Here is a 19,904-nt window from a genome sequence, read left to right on the forward strand (position 1 = left end):
CTATGCTTCATCTTGTCCATGAAGCCTCCTTCCCTTTTCCTTCCCTGAGGAAGAAACTCAGCTCAGGGCTTTCTCCATGAAGCTCTTATCTCACACACTGGCATGAAGATGAATTGTTTATGCTTCTTTCCATAGAGCAGTGGGCCCTAAAGTGTAGTCAGAGTCCTTTGAGCAGCTCATGAAAGCCGCGAGCCTTCCCTCCAGAACAGGGGACACAGCACACATCTAGGAGATTCTGCATGCAATTTCAAGGGGGCCTGGCCCACCAATGGAGTCCAGCCTAAGAACCCCTTCATCATTTAAGGTCTTCTGATCAAGGCGTATGTCGTTTATCTTTGGGTCACCTCCTCACTCCAGCAGCCAACACAGTGCTCAGCACTTAGTAGGACTTCAAGACCCATCCCATTAATGGAATGACATTTCTAACTTTCCCAGTTTTCAGAGAAAAAAAGGCAAAGTGCCTGTAACTTTGTCACTACATCAACAGCTGTTGATTGAGTACCTACCATGTGTCGGGCTGGTACTAAGCCACGTGTGAAGATTCAAAGGCATGTGAGTTGGAGCCTTTAAGGAGCTGGTCATCTTCTTGGGAAGATGGAGCTCACAGGCAGAGTGAGCACAGCCCTTGCACATGGTGGGCAGGAAGAGCTGCTTAGTGGGAGTGAAGATGGAACTGTCCCTGAAGCACAGGTACAGTTTGACAGGTGCAGTATAGGTGAGCAAAGGCCCTTGAAGCCAGGAAAAAAACATGGTTGGTAATGAGGGAAAGGAGAGTTAATTGGCAGAGGAGGCCAGTGGGCAGAACAGAGGACTGGGGTCTGAGCAAGATGTGGGAAAACTAGAAGGTCCAGTTGGGTCCAGATTTGGTGGGCCCTGGAAGGTAGGCCATGGAGTTTGGGTTTTATCCTGTTAGCAGTAGGCAGCCGTGGAGAGATTTTGAGCTGGGATGGGATGAAAGTGAAATTTTAGGAAATTATGATGATGGCATGTGCAGAGTGGACAGGGCAGGGAGGGGGATGGCAGGGGGAGACTAAAGATGGGAGGCAGGTGAAGAAGCTGCAGCAACAGACCACGAATAAGGTGCAAGGGGCTAGGTGAGGGGTCAGAAAGGCAGTAGAGTGATGCGTAGCAACAAAGGAAATACAGGGGCCTGGTGATTAATTGGCTGTTGGAAAAGGATGGGCACAAGGTAGAACCTCAGCCAGAAAGCCAGGAGGCCGGGTGGGGCCGGACCACAGAGGGTGAGTCCCCTTCCAAACCTAAGGGGTTTCCAGGTGGGGGAGGTCCGCACATATCAGATGGATGGATTCAGAGAACTGAAGCTCTGGGAATTACTGACTCCAGGATAATAACGGCTTTCTATTTTTATGTTTCAGAGCCTTTATTGGAAAAGGGTGGGCCTAATTTGTCCTGTTATTTAAAAAATATTCCTTAATGCTTAAATTATTTAATCCTAACAGCTACCTGTGCTGTGGGTGCTATTGTTGTCCTCATTTTATAGGTTAAAAAAAAATGAGGCATGGAGAGGCTAAGTGACTTGCCCAGGGTCATGCAATACAAATTATATATGTATACAGTGTAGACATGGAAGCCTAACAAGACTAGAACCTGTGTGGCCTGGGTCCAGAGCAGAGTCCCATTTAGATAGGCACAGTATGATGAGGTAAAACAAATCATTCAAAGAATCCCATCCTTCATCCTAAGTCTCTCTAAGAATATGAAAAGGGACCAGAGACAGCTCCCCCTGCTGTTCTCAAACATCCTCTCCTGCCTCCCACATCTGTCCCACCCCACTCCCTTGAGCTGCCTTACCCCCCTGGGTTCTCCATGGACCCTCTTCTCCACCCCAGCGAGCAAGGCTGGTCCTCTCTTTCCCACTAAAGGGGTTCCTGCTCTGCCTCTCCTTCACTCCTCCCTTTTTCTTCATCTCCCTTTCCCCTCCCCTTCTATCTCTCCCTTTCCCGCCTTCCCTTTTTCCCTTTTCCTCTGTCCTCCTCCCTCCTTCTCAGTCCCCTTTTCCTCCTCCCCTTCCCTCTCTCCCTCCCTTCCTCCTCACTCCAGCTCATTATTATGTAAATTGTCTTCACCTTCTGAGCCAAGCTCTCCCCCTCCTCCTTCCTCTAGCCTTAGCCCAGGGCCTACATCTGCATCACAAAAGCAGAGGGCCTTGTTCTGGCTGAGCTGGCCTAAACTCTGACACTGGAAGAAAGGGTTGAGGAGAAACTGAACAATTACAGGATTAGAAGATTCACTGGACCAGTGGGGGGGATGGGGAAAGCTTTGAACAAGCCTGTATTAATATAGTTCATCATACACACACATGTGTCTATATAAACATATGTAAAATATACGTGTGTATGTATGTACATCCTTGCATATGTAAAATATATTGTAAACAAATGGACTAGTAGCAGTCATGCATTGAACTTGTATGAGGCTTTATTCAGTTGAAAATACTCCAGTTTTCATTTTTTCACTATTTGTGCCTATGCCTGTTTCTCTCAACTATAAACTCCTTAAGGGCAGAGTGTAGATCCTGTTCCTCTAGCACAATGCCTAATACAGGAAGTATTGAATACTAAGTTTAAACCCCAATTCTACCACCAGCTATATGGCCCTGGGTAAATTATGTAACCTCTCTAAGCCTCAGCATTTTGGACTGTAAAATAGTAATGATCCTGATACCTCCCTCATTCATATCTGCCGTAAGAGTAAATGAGATAATGCCTGTAGCGTGCATAGGATAGTGCCTGTCACATAGCAACTTCTCAACATGTGTTGGCAATTATTCTCATTTATTTGTCTAAAATCATTATTTTTGATAAAGTGTTGATGAATTCTACTCACAGCAATCTAGTGAGGAATGGGCAAGGTTTTATCTGCACTTTTCAGGTTAGAAACAGAAGCACAAGGTTCTTAACTGGCCACCCAAGGTCATATTACCAAGCCTGGGTCTGCTGAACCTGTGCCATAAAGCCAAACACCAACACTGAAGTTTACAACAAGACAAAAGACTGCGTTTATCTGCAGGAGGCTGAGCAAGGAGAGTCAGGCAGCTCATGCTTAACATCTCACTTCCTCAATGGCCCTACAAGCAAGGGCTTTTAAAGGCAAGGGTACATTTTAGGAAAGCAGAAGCTACAGGCAAAACCGTAAACCTATACATGGAGGTTATACATTGGTTTGGCCCAAAAAAGCAGGATATCTTGTGGGGCAGGCTTTGAGGTCATACGTAGATCCAGAGATTCTGTGATATGCAGTTGATTAAGGAGCAAGCCTTTGTCTAAAACCTTGGGGACAGCCAAAATGAATGTTAAGGTCTGGCCTGTAGGTATGAGTCTCTCCAGGCCCCTCAGGAAGAAATTGAGAAGAAAGACCGGCGATCAGTGTTCTGTCCTTAGTTACCACTCTTCTGAGGTCTACTTGACTGCAATGGGCATTTTCCATCTGGTGGGGGTCCAGGTTTCTGAAAAACAACTCAGGGACATATGTTAAGATGTTATCTTTAGTTTCCATAGGGAACCAAACATCTTGTGGCTCTGACTTACTTGTGTGGCTATTATTTTAAGCTATTACAACCTCCTTGCTTCTCAAGTTGCTCATTTACTTCTCAAGGCTACCTAGGTGCCTGGAATTTCCCTTGAAGAGACTCAAGATTTTTCTGTTTCCATGCTTTTTCAGGGTGTGGGGGGCAGCACGACCCTAACAGGGGGCTCCCTGCTCTATCTCAGTCACCTACCTAAGCAGGAGGAAAGATGGGTGCCAGCTGGGCTTGCCGCCCATGCTCTTGTTCCACCAGGGGCCTTCACTGGAGCTGTATCCCCTAGAGATAATGGTAGCTCTTTGGGAGGCAGAATCAGATTTCACATTTAGTTTTCAGAATGTCATTGGATCTCCTCTGGTAAAAGAAATCTTGACATTTAAGTCACACAATGGAGCTCAGGACACTATGTTTTTTAATAATCATGGAAATATTGTGGTGCCACCTCTACAGTGCAGTGCGGTTCACCTTGTGGTTTGCATGAATTCTGAAACAGATAAAAACAAGGATGCTATCTGGCCTGTGTCTCCCTGAGTCCCCTGGGGCTTAGAGATACTTTAGTGGTAGTTGTTAGATCTGACGAGGGCTGGAGGATGTAATAGATGAAGGCTTCATACTCCCATAGCCCAAACACGAGGCCAGGAAGAGGATGTAGATGTGTCCCATGCTGGGTGCTGAGGCTCTCCACCTACAACAGCCCCAGAGCCTGCCCTGACCCTTTGCCAGCCAGGTGAATAGAGCTTGAAACTGCTCCATTCAAGCCCATCTCATTCTGCTGCTCCATTTTGCAGATGGAACATAGGTTTCATCTGGTCCAAACTGGAAAGAGACTTACCCAGGGGAATATGTGGCAGATCCAGGACTAGAGCATTCAGCTTCCTGCATCACAGCTCAGTCCTCTTTCCATCTCAGCAGGCTGCTTCCAGTTACCCAGCCAATTTGGGGACTCATTTTCTTTCATTCAGTTGGTCAATCAATCATTCCACAAATACTTATCACTCAATTACTTATTACTTACAAATGCTTACTTCCTGGGGAAGTGCACAAGATGGCAGAGGTGGGTACAAAGATGCAAAGATCAAGAGGCTCCCGGTCTTGGGCAGAGATGCCAGCCCCAGAATGAGAAGGTAAACGCCTTGGTTTCCAGGGCTTCTCCCAGCTCTGAAATTCTAGCTCTCCAGGGCTCAGTGCAGCATCAGCACAGCTCCCTGATCCAAGGCTGGATCGGGCCGCAAGCTCCTGGTTTGAGGGAAGGCATCCACCATCTAAGCCCTGCCACAAGGAGCCTGAGACCCGGCTACTGGTACTTTGGCCCAGGATGGCAGCATCAGTGGCTTTCCTTGACCATCATCTAAAAGGAAGAACCAACCCAAAGGAACTGCAGTTTTCAGTATGGGAAAGAAAGAAGGACTAAAGTGTCAGATTTTTGAAATGTCTCTTAGCTGCTCCTCCTCATTAGAGTCTTGGGTTTCCTTAGCTAAAAGTGGTGCCCTCCCCCAAGCCCCTCCCAGCTGCCCCCCAGCAGCACACTCTACTTCATGGTTGTCTTACCCTTGGGGCCAGACAGCAGGTCTGGAAGAACAGGTCAGTCTTGTTCATCATGCCCAGTGCTAGCAGGGGTCAGTGAATCCTGTGCCTGAGTGATTCCATTCATCCAATGGGTGTGTGCTTCTGGGTCAAGTGCTGGCTTGGTACTAGGGATATGCATGGCCTGAACAGATGTGTCCAGGGAAGAAAGGATGAAAGATGCAGAATATGCTTCTTTCCATGCCTTCCTGATCCCTCCACAGCGTTTGCCATGCGTGCTTCCATTCATGTGTTCCCACAGCGGTGGCTCAGCCTGGAGCAGGCACTCAGCCTCCAGGGCTCCAGCACATTGGCCCCTGCAGAGGCCCCAGCCAGCACCTAGCCTTCATCTGGCCTGGCCTGCCTTCTCTTCCGTGGCGTGCAGAGTTGAGTGGATGCTCAAGGCTGGGCTGCCATCAGTCTCTACATGTTCATTGCCTGTAGAAAAGGGCATGGAATTTTAAAAAGGAAATTTAAATGAAAGACTTCAACAAACAGTAAACGAAAACTGCAAGCGGTGATGCCTTGCGCTTGTGTGCTCTCTTTCTGTCTTTCACACTCCAACCCCGCCCCCCACCGCCACCATAAGCCCTAATGACTCTGCTCTGATGGTGGGAAAATGTTATAACCACGTAAATAAATATTCCTCGGCATCAGGACTGAAGTGGCCCCCACCAATCTTGGATGTCCAAGAGCCACCCCATTGCAGCCCCTCTTCTACCCCCACCAAACCCCCACCTGGCAGCTACACAGGGGGAACTGACCGCCTCCCCTCTGGAGAGGGGCCATTGTGTGAGCATCCTTTGGGCTTGTGGTACCTGTTTCAAGGTGGCAAACCAGCTGCCAAGCAGACTTCAGCCTTAGAAGCCATAGGCCACAGCAGAGAGGGGCCTGCCTGGCCAGTGCCCTGTATTTTGGGACTCCTGGAATATTGAAAATTGAAGAATTCCCAAAACAAGGTCACAAAATCGTGTTGTATTTTAAATGCATCTACTTAACAAATCAGTACTTTGGGCCTACCACAAATGCAATGGAATATAATTGTGCTCCCTAAAAAGACAATTATAGGATTTACAAAAATATTAATTGACAGTGCAGTGCTGGCCCTGTGGTCCTGTAGTGGGACACAAGTCAGAGCCCTGTGCTGAGCACTGTAGCTTTCACTGTGAGAGATCTCTCTCCCGACTATGTCTGGGACCTCATTTGGTCCAAGCCCCAGAATTGAGCCCTTTGTGGATGTATAATCCCTTTCTGGCCACCAGATATACCGTGGAGTAGCCTAGGAAACCAGGAAGGTAGATTTTAGTTTGCTGAAGGAAGAGGCGCCAGGGACTGAGAAAGGGTTAGGTTTGAGGCAGCAGCACCACGTGGGGAAGGCTGTGTGGGGTGGGGACAGCCAAGGTGGTATCTGCCCCTGCCCTGCTGGGAGTGTAGTGGGGGTCACAGTCCCACACATGTGAGATGGAGATGGCTTCCCTAGGAAAACCAGAGCCACTTTCCATCCTCCCGCTACACACATCTGCACACACGCTCATCAGCTTCTGCTTTACTCAGCTCCGTTCCCTCTTCTTTCTTTGCCGGGCAACCAACAGTGGTCTTATGTCACTGCTGAAGCCCCCACTCTGAGTAAGTTAGGACATGTTGGTTGCAAGTGATGGAAGATACAACCACACTGGCAAACTGGCTTATTCAAACAAAATAAAACACAAAACAGCCACAGGCCCAGAGAGTCAGAAATTCAGACACACATGTGGGGAGTGGGGGCTTGATCAGCAGCTCAGGGGACGTCCCTGGCTTCCCCCATCTCTCCACTCTGCCGCACTGTGTGGTTTTCACCCTCGACTCCACAGCATCACTCCTGCACCAAGGAGGAAAATGGCTCCAGCAGCTAAGTCATCACTTGTAACCTTGTGTGCATCCTAGGACATCACCAAGCACAAGGTGCATCTGAGCAACCACCAAGTCCTGCAAGTCTCTCTCTCTCTCTCAGTCTCTTTCTGTCTCTGTCGCCTCTGTGTGTGTGTGTGTGTGTGTGTGTGTGTGTGTGTGTATGTGTGTATCTGTCTGTCTGTCTGTCTCTCTCTCTCATTGCCCCTCCTTGACCCAATCACCATGACCAAGGGGGCTGAGGGGTTCCTGGGATAAGAGTGAATCCCCCAGAGGAAAACCAGAAGCTCCTGAAAAAGGAAATAGAATAGGAGGAAATGGGTGCTGGGGAGGCCACCAGCCGCCCACAGATCTCTCCTTGCCATTGGGGCTACCAGCTGTGCTGCCCCGTGCAGGAGATGACTCATGTCGTAGGGTGGAGGGCCGGCCAGGCTGAGTCCACTGCAGCAGGACCATGAGATGGCTGAGCTCGGCAGCAAGCCAGCACTGCTGCTCCCATGGCAGCCTCTCCCCTGAGGTCCCAGGTGGCAGGACACATGGGTGCACAGCCCCCAGCCCACCACTGACCAATGGTCTCGCCTTTCCACTGTGGCCGCAGCAGGGGGCCAGGGAAGAGTGGGAGGTGAAGAGGGGAGATAGGCTGGTAACAGAAGAGGCCTCCACTAGAAGTCAGGTCCCTTGGAGCCTGCCCCAGCCAGCAACAGCCTTAGAGCTAGTCAACACCTCGCTTCAAAGCTGGGGAGGCACTGCCCCAGAGGGCGGGCAGCAGGAGTCAGAGATGTGACTTTGAATCCTGGCCCTGCCCTCTGCCAGGCAGTGGACTTAGCACTAGTCACCTGACTGACTGACCCTCAGGTTCCTCATCTGAAAACTGGAGATCATAATAATACCTACTCACAGGGTTGTTGTGGCTAAAAGAAATGATGCATGTTAACAGCTAAGCAAGGTGCCTGGCACCAAGTAAGTGCTCAGGAAACAGCTACTGCCATCTCCCTCCTCTTGCCCATACCTCACTGCCTGTTAGTGAAGGGCCAGGACAGGAGCCTGGGTGTGACAATTGTTTCAGAACCAGAGCAAAGGGTTGGTGTCAAGGCCTCTTAGCTATTACAGGTCAAAGAGGTGGTGTCATCCCCTCCCAGAATCAGCTGTCCCTTCTGATTTCAGGCTGGAAGACAGTATGCCTCAGCACCTGCCCTCTTGCTGGCTTTGCAGGAGTGGAGCTGAGGAGAGCTGCTTCTGACTCAGGGCCCAGCATGGCCTGAGAGAGAAACCCAAAGAGATAGAGACAAGGAGAGAGCAGGAGAGATCACAGAGAGGGAGGAGAGTGGCAGACACTGTGTGACTGAGAAACACTGAGATGGCGCGCTGCATAGACCGTGCACCAGTGTCCAGTGTCGATGGTGCACTCAGCATAGCATCTGCGCAGAGTAAATGCTGCTGAAATGGCTACTGCTCCATTCCTTTTCATTAGGGCCGCCTATGACTCTGTGAATGTCATTCCACAGCCCCTCCAGCCAGACGTGTCTTCTTTCTCCCCCTGGATGCCCTCAGCACCTGGCTGTCTCATTCACTCACTGGTTTATTTACTTGAGAAATATGGACGTGGCCTTCTCTGTGCCAGCAGCATGCTGAGTGCTTTGTGCACCATGGTGAACTAATGCAAGCAGGTGTACTGCTGCTCAGAGCTCAGCTGGCGAGCAGGTGGACAGCCTCAGTGATTCCAGAGAGCAGAGTGTCCTGACAGTCGGCCTGTCCTAGCCTGTGCTGAGGACGGGGTATCTGACAAAGAGCTGAAGGGATTGGCACCGGTGGGGTCTCACCAGCCACCAGGATAGGAGGGTAAAAAGACTGCTCCCAAGTGTCCCCATATGGGGCACGCCAGGAAGTAAGACCAGAGCACATACTTGGGCTCCTGGCTGTAGAAGTTCCCAAGCTATATAAGGAGAGGAGAATCAGGCCTGGCCTCTAAAAGGAGGCTGCTTCCTCTTGGGGAAAAGTCAGGGAGGTGGGAAAATGCAGCCTTCACAGCCCTGTGTCTTAAGTCACTCAGCTCTGATAGCAAGAGTGGCCAGCGTGGGGGCCGGTCTTCCCTTTGCGTTACTTTCTGGCCTCTGGAGAGTCAGGAGCTCAGGTAGCCTGGAGTCCCCTGGAACTCAGCAGCAGGGGTGGAGGCGGGTAGGGTCTTTGTCATGAACCGGAAGCATACCAGGCCTTCACTTAGAACACTGACCCCTCACAGAAAGACCAGCCCCTAGGCCCTGCCTCGGCTGGCAGGGTGACCTCAGGCCCATCCCTTACCCTACAGGGTCTCCATTTTTTCATCCATTAGATCTGAGGAACGACACCGAAGATCGCCCCTCCCCCACCCTACCTCCTTTTTAGTTCTATAAATTCCCCTGGCAGAACTTAATTGCTAAGTTTAGGTGATTGCCAAGCACAAGGTTCTTCCTTTGTATCCAAAAAAGGGGGGGGGAGCGGAAAAAAGAGAAAAAAACACAGTTTCAAAGTTAGGGCACCTGTGTTCAATTGAAGACTGACTTTCTCTTAAGGAGGGAGTTGATGTTCCCACAGCCGCTGGGCTGTTAGCAGCAAAAGCAGCCTAGCAGGAGGGGCAGCCTTGGTGAGCCCCCAGTGCAGGCCACTTGGGCCACTTGCCCCACAGTATCCAGCGCACTGGGGGGCAGATCAGCCTGTCACTGAGAATGACACACTCAAGTTTGGAGCCGGGACCTCTTTTTTGCCATCCATCAATGAGAGTGGTTCAGGGTTGTCAGTCTAAGACGGGAGTATAGCCCAGGGCTGGGGACTGTAGAAATGGGCATGGTCCCCACCCGGTGGGGATGGGGACACCGGTGTGGACTGGCACACATGGGCCACGGAGCCATCGGGGTGAAGACACTAAATCAGGCAGAAAAACACTGTCAAGTGTTAACACTGCAGCATCTGTGTCAAGGGTAACCATGTCTCAGGGACGCAGGAGATGAGCGGCCCCATGCAAAGCTGTCAGTTTTAGTCTGATCAGTCCAAAAGGCTCCCGGTGTGGGGAGAGGAAGGATGGATTTCAGTAGCAGCTTGCTAGATGAGGATGAGATGGCAGAGCATACGGCGCAGGCTTGAGGAGGGGGTACGGAGGCCAGGGAGGCCTTTGGGCAGCTGGCTGACAGCACTGTTACAAACATTTTGCACACATTTTATTGATTGGCCCACTCCTCAAACCCAGAGCACATAAACAAGTGTCCCATGGTACCATTGGGGTACCTGGAACCCAGAGCAGTGGGGAATGTCCCTGCCCCAGTCCCCCAAACAATTGCACCAGCCTCTCCAGCTTCCCACTGCCTCTCTTGCCTCCCACCCCGTAATCTGTGCTCCACACAACAGCCAAAGTGAGCTTTTAAAAATGCATATCTAATCCCCTGCTTAAAAGCGCTCAGTGGCATCTTTGCTCTCAGGATAAAGCCAGCCTTATCTCCTGTAGCTCCTGCCACAGGCTCTGCTGCTGACTCTTTAAATGCCACGACCTCCTGGCCTCAGGGCTTTTTAGTGAGTTATCTCCTCCATAGGGGACTTCTCCACCACTGCTTCCCTCCCCCAGGCCTGGGTTCCACCATCACTTCCCCTCCCTTGGAAGCCTTTCCTGACTCTCCGAATAGGCTGGGCCTCTTGTCCTGACTCTCAGACCCCTGGTATGTGTGCTCACCTGAGTATTTGATCAATGTTTGTGCCCCCTGACCCAACAAGGCTGTAAGGGACAGGGACAGGGCCTATATGACTTCAGTTGGAGTCAGTCTCCAGCACCCAGCACAGTGCCTGGCCCAGAATTGGTGGGTGCTCTATTGAAGTCTGCAGCTAGTCCGTGGTAGAGCTGTTCTTGATCCCAGATGTTTGAACACCTGGCCCATTGCTTTCTGTATGGCCCCTTGTAAAATCAGAGCAGGTAGTTAAAATCAGATCCTGGAGACCCAGAATGAGTTTGGAACCTGAGTTCTAGAACCCACTTGTTCATAGGCCCTCTTGCAGGCCTCAATTTTTTCACCTGCTGAATTGAAACCACACCTGCCCACGCACTGTGCAGGAAGCAAGGAGTAGGGGTCACACACGTGAGGCATGTGAGAGGGGGTGCCTCCTGAAAGCTGGCTCTGTGCATCCACTCCTGGAACCCGGCCCCTCTCCAGGCAAGGCACAGAGGCAAGCACCTCCAAAAGAAACCCTATACCCGTTAGCATTCCCTCCCTACCCCTCTGCCTGCAGCCCCTGGCAACCACTAATCTGCTCTCTGTCTCTATGGATTTGTCTATTCTGGACATTTTATATAAATGGAATCATACACTATGTACTCTTTTGCATCTTGCTTCTTTCACTTGGCATAATGTTTTCAAGGTTTTTCCGTGTTGTAGCTGAATCACATTTCATTGTATGGATATACCAAATTTCATTCATCTATTCATCATTTGATGGACATTGAGGTTGTTTCCACCTTTTGGCTACTATGAATAATGCTGCTGTGAACATTCATGTACAAGTTTTGTACAGACTCATGTTTTCATTTCTCTTGGGTACATAACTAGGGGCAAAACTGATGGTTCATAAGGTAGTTCCATGTTTGACTTTCTGAGGAACCATCAAACTGTTTTCCAAAGTGGCTACACCGTCTTACATTCCCATTTTCCGCATATGGAGGTTCCAGTGTCTCCCCGTTCTCACTAATACATGTTATTGTTCATCGTTTTTATTATAGCCATCCTCGTGGCTATAACTCATTGTGGTTTTCATTTGCATTTCCCCAGTGATTAATGATATTGAGCATCTTTTCATGTGCTTTTGGCCATTGGTGTATTTTCTTCAGAGAAATGTCTATTCAGAATTAGCCCATCTCTAAATGGGGTTATTTGTCTTACGGTTAAGTTGTAAGAGTCCTTTATTCTGGATACGAGTCCTTTATTAGATATGCGATTTGCAAATATTTTCTCCCCTTCTGTGCATTATCTTTCGAATTTTGTGATGGTGCCCTTTGAAGTCTCACCTCATTCTGCCCTTGCCTCTGCCCCCTTGCCAGAGTTCCTCACTCCCCCAGACCTACTCATCTGTCTCTGTTCCTTTATGCTGCTGCAACAAAATACCTTAGAATGGGTAATTTAGAAACAACAGAAATGAATTGCCCACATTTCTGGAGGATGAGAAGTCCAACATCAAGATACCAGCAGATTTGCTGTCTGGTAAGGGTTTCTTCTCTGCTCCATAGATGGTGCCCTATCACTGCATCCTCAGGTGGCAGAAGGGACAAAAGGCTCCCTCAAGCCTGTTTATAAGGGCACTGATCTCATTCGAGATGGCAACACTCTTATGATCTAATTGCTTCCCAAAGGCCCCACCTCTTAATATCATTGCCTTGGGGATTAGGTTTTGAGCACGCGAATTGTGGACGGACACAGATATTCTGACCATAGCACCATTGCCTGCCCTGCCTTCGGGACTTACACTCTTTTGGAGCTGAAGGAACTGGCTCTTTCTTGCTCCACATTGCTCCACATTCCCCATCAGCGTTCCCCAGCAGGCTCTTTCCTAGCAGACAATCTGAACTGCACCCAGGCTGCAGTCATCCCTGAGTTTGGGGGCTTCTAAGGCTGTGTGCTGAGTTGTGCCTGAAGCAGGAGGAGCCTACAATTCACTGAGCATCTCCCTGTGCCCACGTGCTGGATGCCTCGCAGGCATGGATATATCCCACTGCATCCCCAGAACAATCTCAAAAGATACTGGTATTTTTCTACCCTGTGGATAAAATGGAGTCAGAATTTAAATTTGGATTTTTTTTTAAGACAAGGTCTAGCTTTATCACCCAGGTTGGAGTATAATGGCATGATCTTGGCTCACTGCAACCTCTGCCTCCCAGGCTCAAACCATCCTCCCACCTCAGTCTCCTAAGTAGCTGGGACTACAGGCACATATCACCATACCCAGCTAATTTTTGTATTTTTTGTAGAGATAGGGTTACATTATGTTGCCCAGGCTGGTCTCAAACTCGTGAGCTCAAGTGATCCACCCACCTCAGCCTCCCAAAGTGCTGGGATTACAAGCATGAGCCACTATGCCTGGCCAAATTTAGAATTTAAAATGGAGCTGTTCGCTGTCTTCCTACACAGCATGTTCATGGCTTATGAGCTGCACGTTCAGCTCTGCTGTCCTGTTTGATAATTGCCTACTCTGAAAAGTATTTAAAAATACTGGAGAAAGTATTAATACCTCCCTAGGTATAAGCCCTAGTATGGTAGCAACAGAAGTTTCTTGACACTCTGGAAAATGCCCAACTCCACCTGCTGTAACCAGCAGCCCCGAAATCTCAGGGCCTCAACATAGTGAACGTTAGTTCCTTGCTCCCACCACAGTCTAATGTGGAAGTGCTGGGGGTTGCCCTGTCCCACGTAGGCCCGAGCCAACTCCCCTGTGGTCAGTGGTTCAGCCTCAGCTGAGGGTCTTCTGCTGGACTCCTGGTATCAGGCCAGTGGACTGGGGAAGGTCACAAGGGGAGTTTTTGGGGCCGGGCCAGAACTTGGTCCCTGGTCACACCTAACTGCAGGGAAGTCTATGAAATGCCTAGCTGTGACCTTGGAAGAAGAGATGAAATACTTTTGTCAATAGGGAGCCAGTCTCTGGCATAGTGCTCAGGTGTGAATTTTAGCCAAACTGCTGCCAACTGGAAGCAGCACCTCTGCTGGGGTGACAGGTCCATTTTCTTGGCTCTGTTGGCTGTTTTCTGCTCCTCACTTGGGCCCAGCTGAGCAGTTCAACAGCTTTGCTTCTCTGTGACATGACAGAGCCCACCTGAAAATTCATTTCTTGGTGGCTATGGTGGTGGCTTCTCACCCTGTCTCCTGTCCCAGCTCTAAAAATGGATTGCCCTTCTGATATGAACATGCATGACATCTCTGGAACATGAGTCCCATGTTCTGTGTGCAGACAGTGTGCCAGCAGCTTCTCCTGTGTGATGTCAGTGTTTCCCTGGCATGGCACACATACTTTGGTGGAATATGAGATTAAATGGTACGTGGATAAACCTTTTATTCCTACTTTTGTAGTTGCATATCGGTTTTAATATGTACTTGAAAAAAGATCACATAACATATCAAACCCATAATTTCATATCTATGACTGAAGATGAGGCTAATTTCAGAGCTGTCCTGATATCAGGTTGGGGAAAGCGATGAATGAATGACTGGGTTTGGGAACGTTGCCTGGGGTGAAAAGGCTCAGATGCCCAGCCGCCTCACCGGACTTGCTAGTGTGTGACCTCTCTGCACCTTTCCTCCTCTGTAGCATGTTCCCACATGAACATAGGGTATAGGAAGGTTGGTGTGTCAAGTGATTAACAGCAGTACCTGGCACATATTTCATGCTTAGTAGGTGATAGCTCCTAATGTTCTTAGGAAACACCAAGTCATATCACTTAACTGTGCCAACAGTGTTGAGACAGGGTTATTACTATACTTTATAGATGAGCTGAGAAAGGTTAAGTCGCTTGCCCAACTGGCAGCAGAGCCATGTGCTGACCCCCAGTGTGCCTGACTCCTACCTAGGCCAGGCTCTGCGAGGGGAGTTTACTTGCAATCCTGGCTCTGGCACTAACTTAGCAGGACACTGCAGGCAGGCCCCGTCGCTCTCTGGGCTTCAAGCTTCCCATAGGCGGGATGGGGGACCAGCATAACTCTTTGTGCAGGATAAGTCTCACAGAATGTGGGGGCTGCTCTCTTTGCTCCAACCACAGCAGAAGGCTTTGCTTTAAAAAAAAAAAAAAAAAAAAGTGGACTGGGTGTGAGCTAGGTGTCTGCATGCAATGCCCCTCCCAGATCCTCTGCTTGTCTCTGGATTCTTTCTGCTGCCTCTCTTGTCACACTTCTTTATGACCAAGCTTCCAACCTACCCCAAGTGTAAACATCATTTGTTTGTCCGTCATCTGGTGATGGACATTTCACTTGTTTCCATTCTGGGACTCTTATGAATAATGCTGCCAGAACATTGATGTACAAGTTTTTGTGGGGACATATGTTTTCATTTCTTGTGGTAACTACCCAGGAATAGAATTGCTGGGTCACGTTGGGAGGGTATGTTAACTGCATAAGAAACTTCCAAACTACTTCCCCAAGTGGTAGTACTGTTGAAAATTCCACCAGCAACATATAAGGATTCCTGTTGTCCTGCACACTCACTGACATTTGGATTGCCAGCCCTTTTCATTAGCTGCTCAAGTTTGTGCACAGTGGTATTTCACTGTGGTTTTAATCTGCCTTTCCATGGTGACTAATAATATTTGGCACCTTTTAACATACTTTTGGGCCATGCGTATATCTTCTCTTGTAAAGTAACTGTTCAGGTCTTTTATTCTTCCCTTTTATTGGGTTGTTTGTCTTCTTATTAATGAGTTTTAAGATTTTTTTAATATCCCTGATACAAGTTCCTTGTCAGTTATATGTACTATTTCATATTTTCTCCCAGTCTTTGGCTTGCCTTTACAATTAGCATTTTTAAATGGTAAATGGTTTGTTTAATGAATGTTGATTTGTCCACCAGCTTCCACGTCTAGTCCATACCTCCCTTTCCAGCATTGGGAGCCCTTTGCTAGTTATTTCTATTTGGCTGTGAGAGGTTTTCGTCTGCAGATAAAGAAGTGATCATGGTATCAGAGGTTGAACTTGTGGACTCTGGGGTCAGACAGTCCTGGGTCCAAGTCCCAGCTCCGTGGCTCGCAGATGGGCAGGTCCTTCTCGTCTGTTCTCTGAGCCTTGCTTTTCTGGTGTGTAATATGAGGATAATAAGTCACCTACCTCCTTGTGCTGCTGGGAAGATTAAATGAGATGATGATCTCAGGGGCCTAGCACCTATCAAGGGCACACAAAGGCTGGGCTGTACCTGTTACCACTCCTGTTGCTAAGGCACGCTAGCACCCCAGGGCCAGCCCATGTGAAACCACTCTGCACAAAGCAGGCTTCTTCTCCCTTCCACCTTTAAATCGAAAGCACCACCTTTCTCCCAGTTATCCAAGCAGAGACCCTGGACTCCTCCTTCCCCTCCATGTCTCGCTTCCTGTTCCAGAATGGCTCTTGAATCAGCCCTTCCTCTCGCTGCCCAGGCCACTGCCCCAGTGAGGCAGCCTTCCCTCTTCCCAGTGTTCGTACGGTGCTCCTCACCAAGGTGGTCTCCCTGCCTCTTCCTCCCAATATTCCACCCTGTTTGCCGCTGACACTGTTGTCAAAGGCTTCCTTTCTGAATCAGAAACCTGGGGCTCCTGGGTAGTTGTTTGGGGGAGACCACCTTGCACAGGCAAGGCTCGGCTGTCACTGGCGTCTTCCTTGGTTATAAATAACAGGCTCTATTCTTAGCCAAACAGCAGTTAATTCTCTTCCCGTACCTTCCAGAGCCTCTATTAGGGACCTTGGCCGTCCTTACTGGAGACAGGCCATTCCTTGGCCTTTGGCAGGACCCATTCCTTTGATACGTGATCAGAAAATTCAATTATAAAGCCAATTACTGATTTCCTGAGCTTTACAAGGGAGACTGGAAAGTTTGATTAAGTTTGAATTTGTGTTTGGCTGATTGCCAGCCAAAACCGAATGGGCTTGTGGGAGAGTTCTGTTGTTGCTGATTCTGTTCCTGTTTTGTGGCAGCTCTCTTGGGGTGGGGGCAGGCACACTGGTGTTGTGTTGTGGGTTTTTTTTAGACCCCCTTACTTGCTGAATGGCTATTCCTCTGTTGTGATGCATGAGATGTAAATCCCCCAAAGACTGGTTGCCAGAGCGACGGGCTGGAATTGAGCTCAGCTAAACAAAGTCCTTCAGCTTTGAAGGGAGAAGCGCTTGTTTCCCATGTGGAGTTGAGTTATAGTGGCCCTCAACAAGGCTGCATTCAAGGATGCCTGCATGAACAGGCATGCAGAGGGGGTCGCTGAGCCTGCTGGAGGATCTTAAGCGGCGTGTCTGGGCTCTAACTGCCTCTAGGACCTACCCAGGGGGACACACAGATGCTGAGCCTGAGGATCAAGGCTATTCAGGGTGCCTCTGCCCAGCTGGTCACCCTCACCCTAGAACCTGCAGGACTGGCCTTCAAACAGTGACAGCCTGCTGGGCTCCAGCTAGAGCCCAGCACAGGTGGGGATTGAAAAGCAACCCTTTGTCTCTAGCCAAAGTACTTGCTTTTTTAGATACTTCTGGGAAACCAAACAGAGCCCGTGATGGGACCAGGTTGGAGTTCCAGGTCAGAATCTGAGTTGTTTCTGGAGACCCAAGTTCCTTCCCTAGCAATAAAATGAGGGAATCCCAGTTCTCTGGAAGCTGTAGCCATCCCACAACTCTTCCTACAAGGTATACATTATTCAGGAGAGATGGTGGGGCCCCACTTCAAAGCGTCTCCCTCATGCCTAAAATCTCCCAGTTAGAGCCCTTTGGGTGTTAAAGGTTTTTAGGTCTCTAAGAATCCTGGTTAAAGTACTAATACTCCTGGAAGGAGAAGCGTCTACCAGTAGGGATTAGCCATCAGCTAACTGAGAAAACCGCCCTTTGGGAGTAGGACACGGGATTCCCTGTACCCAGGGTGGGGTCAGATAAACTCCACCTGCCTCCCAGCTTGCTTGAGGCAAGATCCAAATGTGACCTCTTGCACCAGAAACATTAATATCTCTAACATTCGTATCTGGTGTGATGTACCAGAGCTCACAGAACACTCACGCCCTGCCCTGTACCCTCATCCATACAGCAAGCTCATGAGCCGGCACCACCTTGACCCCCGGTTGCAGACAAGGAAGCCAAGGCTCAGGGAGGCCAACCACCTTGCCCAGCATCACACAGCTGGGAGTACAGATTTTGGACTCAGACCTGGGATTTCTAAATCCAAACCCAAACCTGTTTTCTGTGCGCACAGCCACCCACCCGGTGGATGACATGGACACTGCGCACCTGTTTTGTCTAACTGGTGTGTGTGTGTGTGTGTGTGTGTGTGTGTGTGTGTGTGTGTGTGTGTGTATGCATGTGTTTAAAAGGTGGGAATTTTTTGTTAAGTTTGAATTTCAGTTCTTTTCTTTTCTTTTTTAAATGAAAGTGTTATAGCATCCTGGTGGAGTTGTAATTAGGAAATTCTGGGTTAGTCAGCTAGGCAGAATTGAAAAATAACCCGGCAGTGCTGGTTGGAGTACTTTTTCCCCTCCTTAGAAATTCAGGTTTTGTCAAACTAGGGAGGAGGGAGTTGTGAAGATGGAAAAATGTGTGCAGCTGGGCTGGGTCAGGGAGTGTGTATTCTCTTCTTTATGTAGAACTAGACGATTAAAAAAATAGTTATCGAGTGGGAGTGCTGGCTCACGCCCATAATCCCAGCACTCTGGGAGGCAAAGGTGGGCGGATCACTTGAGCCCAGGAGTTTGAGACCAGCCTGGGAAACACAGCAAGACCCTGTCTCTACAAAATAAAAATAAAAAATTAGCCAGCCATGGTGGTGCGTGCCTGTGGTCCCAGCTACTGGGGAGGCCGAGGTGGGAGGATCACTTGAGCCCAGGAGGTCGAGGCTACGGTAAGCCATGTTCACGCCACTGCACTCCAGCCTGGGCAACAGGGCGAGACCCTGTCTCAAAAAATAAAATAAAATAGTTATCTTTGTGTAGGATGATCTTCCGTATGTGCAGACATGAGGCAGCCTGTGAAAGATGGTAAGGAAACAGGTGAAGAGGAACCCTGGCTGGGTCCCAGGCTTTGGCAGGAAGAGGATGCGAGCCCCAGATGTGGGTTAAGGGCTCTCAAACCAGGCGCATGCAGAGAGACTCCATTGTCACCTCCCTTCCAGCTTGCCCTTATTGATCAGCGACAGTGATGATGACAAGGGCAGTAACAACTTCCCCCACACGTGGGGCATATATGCCAGGCTCTGAGACACTCCGTCATTTCTGTGTTACCCTGACAGTCTTCATTTTAATAGTGATATGCTTATTTTAATAAGAATCCAAAACATAGCCCATCTAGCTCATGACTGCCCAGATATTAGAATGGGGCCAAAGTATGGGTTTAACTTTTTTTAAAAAATGAGTTAATTAGGCTGGGCACGATGGCTCACACCTGTAATCCCAGCACTTTAGGAGGCCGAAGCGGGCAGATCACGAGATCAGGAGATCAAGACCATCCTGGCTAACACGGTGAAACCCCATGTCTACTAAAAAATACAAAAAAAATTAACTGGGCATGGTGGCGGGCACCTGTAGTCCCAGCTACTTAGGAGGCTGAGGCAGGAGAATGGTGTGAACCCGGTAGGCGGAGCTTGCAGTGAGCTGAGATCATGCCACTGCACTCCAGCCTGGGCGAGAGAGTGAGACTCTGTCTCAAAAAAAAAAAAAAAAGGGTTAATTAAATAAAACATATGAATATAAGGACGGGGTGTCATGTGGATTGGGCAGAAATTGTGAAAACAAGACAGAAAGATCTGGAGTTTGGGAAGGCTTGCCTCATCCATATGAGCAGGTAAAATGATTAACCTCATTTTACAGATCAGGAAACCGAGGCTCAGAAAGGTTGAGTAACTTGCCTACAGTCACACAGCTGACAGATGGCAGAGCCAGCAACAAGACCCAGGCTTGCCTAACTCCAAAGGCAAGGCTTGGGGCTGCCATCCAGGTGAACATTCCTACCTTCACTCTCCAGATGAAGCCCTCAGCGCTGGGTTAGCTAGCCTTCCTGGGGCTGTCCAACCCTGGAGAGAGAAGGCCTTTCTCACTGCTTTCTGAAGCATGAACAGAGGCGGATCCCACTCTAGGGAGGTAGGGCCCTGGGGCCTGCTTCCTCCGATCTGCTGCGTCTAACTCTCTCAAATAAAAGCCTTTTCAGAAAGGGCCTGGCATGAGGCTGCATGTGACTGGCAGGGCTGTGACTGCCAAGGCTTCACTGTGCTT

The 19,904-nt window shown here is 49.2% G+C and overlaps 1 protein-coding gene across 4 annotated transcripts in view, besides 8 other annotated features; it reads left to right on the plus strand.

Moving 5' to 3' along the window:
• The window catches only part of GNAO1 (G protein subunit alpha o1), a 165,956-nt gene that overhangs the window by 88,087 nt on the left and 57,965 nt on the right, over positions 1–19,904 (plus strand). The gene's annotated exons all lie outside the window — the stretch shown is intronic.
• Positions 1,662–1,956: a silencer, noted in NCBI's record as "tiled region #182; HepG2 Repressive non-DNase unmatched - State 12:CtcfO". NCBI's record gives its function as "represses a minimal TATA promoter and a strong SV40 promoter by Sharpr-MPRA in HepG2 cells {active_cell/tissue: HepG2}" and the evidence as "EXISTENCE:reporter gene assay evidence [ECO:0000049][PMID:27701403]".
• Positions 1,662–2,481: a biological region, named in NCBI's record as "Sharpr-MPRA regulatory region 182".
• Positions 1,860–2,481: an enhancer, noted in NCBI's record as "OCT4-NANOG hESC enhancer chr16:56315347-56315968 (GRCh37/hg19 assembly coordinates)". NCBI's record gives its function as "activates a minimal SCP1, AML or CMV promoter by ChIP-STARR-seq in primed H9 embryonic stem cells {active_cell/tissue: H9 hESC(primed)}" and the evidence as "EXISTENCE:reporter gene assay evidence [ECO:0000049][PMID:30033119]".
• Positions 2,572–3,121: an enhancer, noted in NCBI's record as "H3K27ac-H3K4me1 hESC enhancer chr16:56316059-56316608 (GRCh37/hg19 assembly coordinates)". NCBI's record gives its function as "activates a minimal SCP1, AML or CMV promoter by ChIP-STARR-seq in naive H9 embryonic stem cells {active_cell/tissue: H9 hESC(naive)}" and the evidence as "EXISTENCE:reporter gene assay evidence [ECO:0000049][PMID:30033119]".
• Positions 3,122–3,669: an enhancer, noted in NCBI's record as "H3K27ac-H3K4me1 hESC enhancer chr16:56316609-56317156 (GRCh37/hg19 assembly coordinates)". NCBI's record gives its function as "activates a minimal SCP1, AML or CMV promoter by ChIP-STARR-seq in naive H9 embryonic stem cells {active_cell/tissue: H9 hESC(naive)}" and the evidence as "EXISTENCE:reporter gene assay evidence [ECO:0000049][PMID:30033119]".
• Positions 4,873–5,394: an enhancer, noted in NCBI's record as "H3K4me1 hESC enhancer chr16:56318360-56318881 (GRCh37/hg19 assembly coordinates)". NCBI's record gives its function as "activates a minimal SCP1, AML or CMV promoter by ChIP-STARR-seq in naive H9 embryonic stem cells {active_cell/tissue: H9 hESC(naive)}" and the evidence as "EXISTENCE:reporter gene assay evidence [ECO:0000049][PMID:30033119]".
• Positions 8,726–9,388: an enhancer, noted in NCBI's record as "H3K4me1 hESC enhancer chr16:56322213-56322875 (GRCh37/hg19 assembly coordinates)". NCBI's record gives its function as "activates a minimal SCP1, AML or CMV promoter by ChIP-STARR-seq in naive H9 embryonic stem cells {active_cell/tissue: H9 hESC(naive)}" and the evidence as "EXISTENCE:reporter gene assay evidence [ECO:0000049][PMID:30033119]".
• Positions 10,472–10,641: an enhancer, noted in NCBI's record as "experimental_43505 CRE fragment used in MPRA reporter constructs". NCBI's record gives its function as "activates a minimal promoter by MPRAs in K562 erythroleukemia cells, with activity observed for both the introgressed and non-introgressed 16:56324044 variant alleles {active_cell/tissue: K562}" and the evidence as "EXISTENCE:reporter gene assay evidence [ECO:0000049][PMID:34662402]".

This window comes from Homo sapiens, chromosome 16 (genome assembly GCF_000001405.40).
Source record: "Homo sapiens chromosome 16, GRCh38.p14 Primary Assembly".
Lineage (NCBI taxonomy): Eukaryota > Metazoa > Chordata > Mammalia > Primates > Hominidae > Homo > Homo sapiens.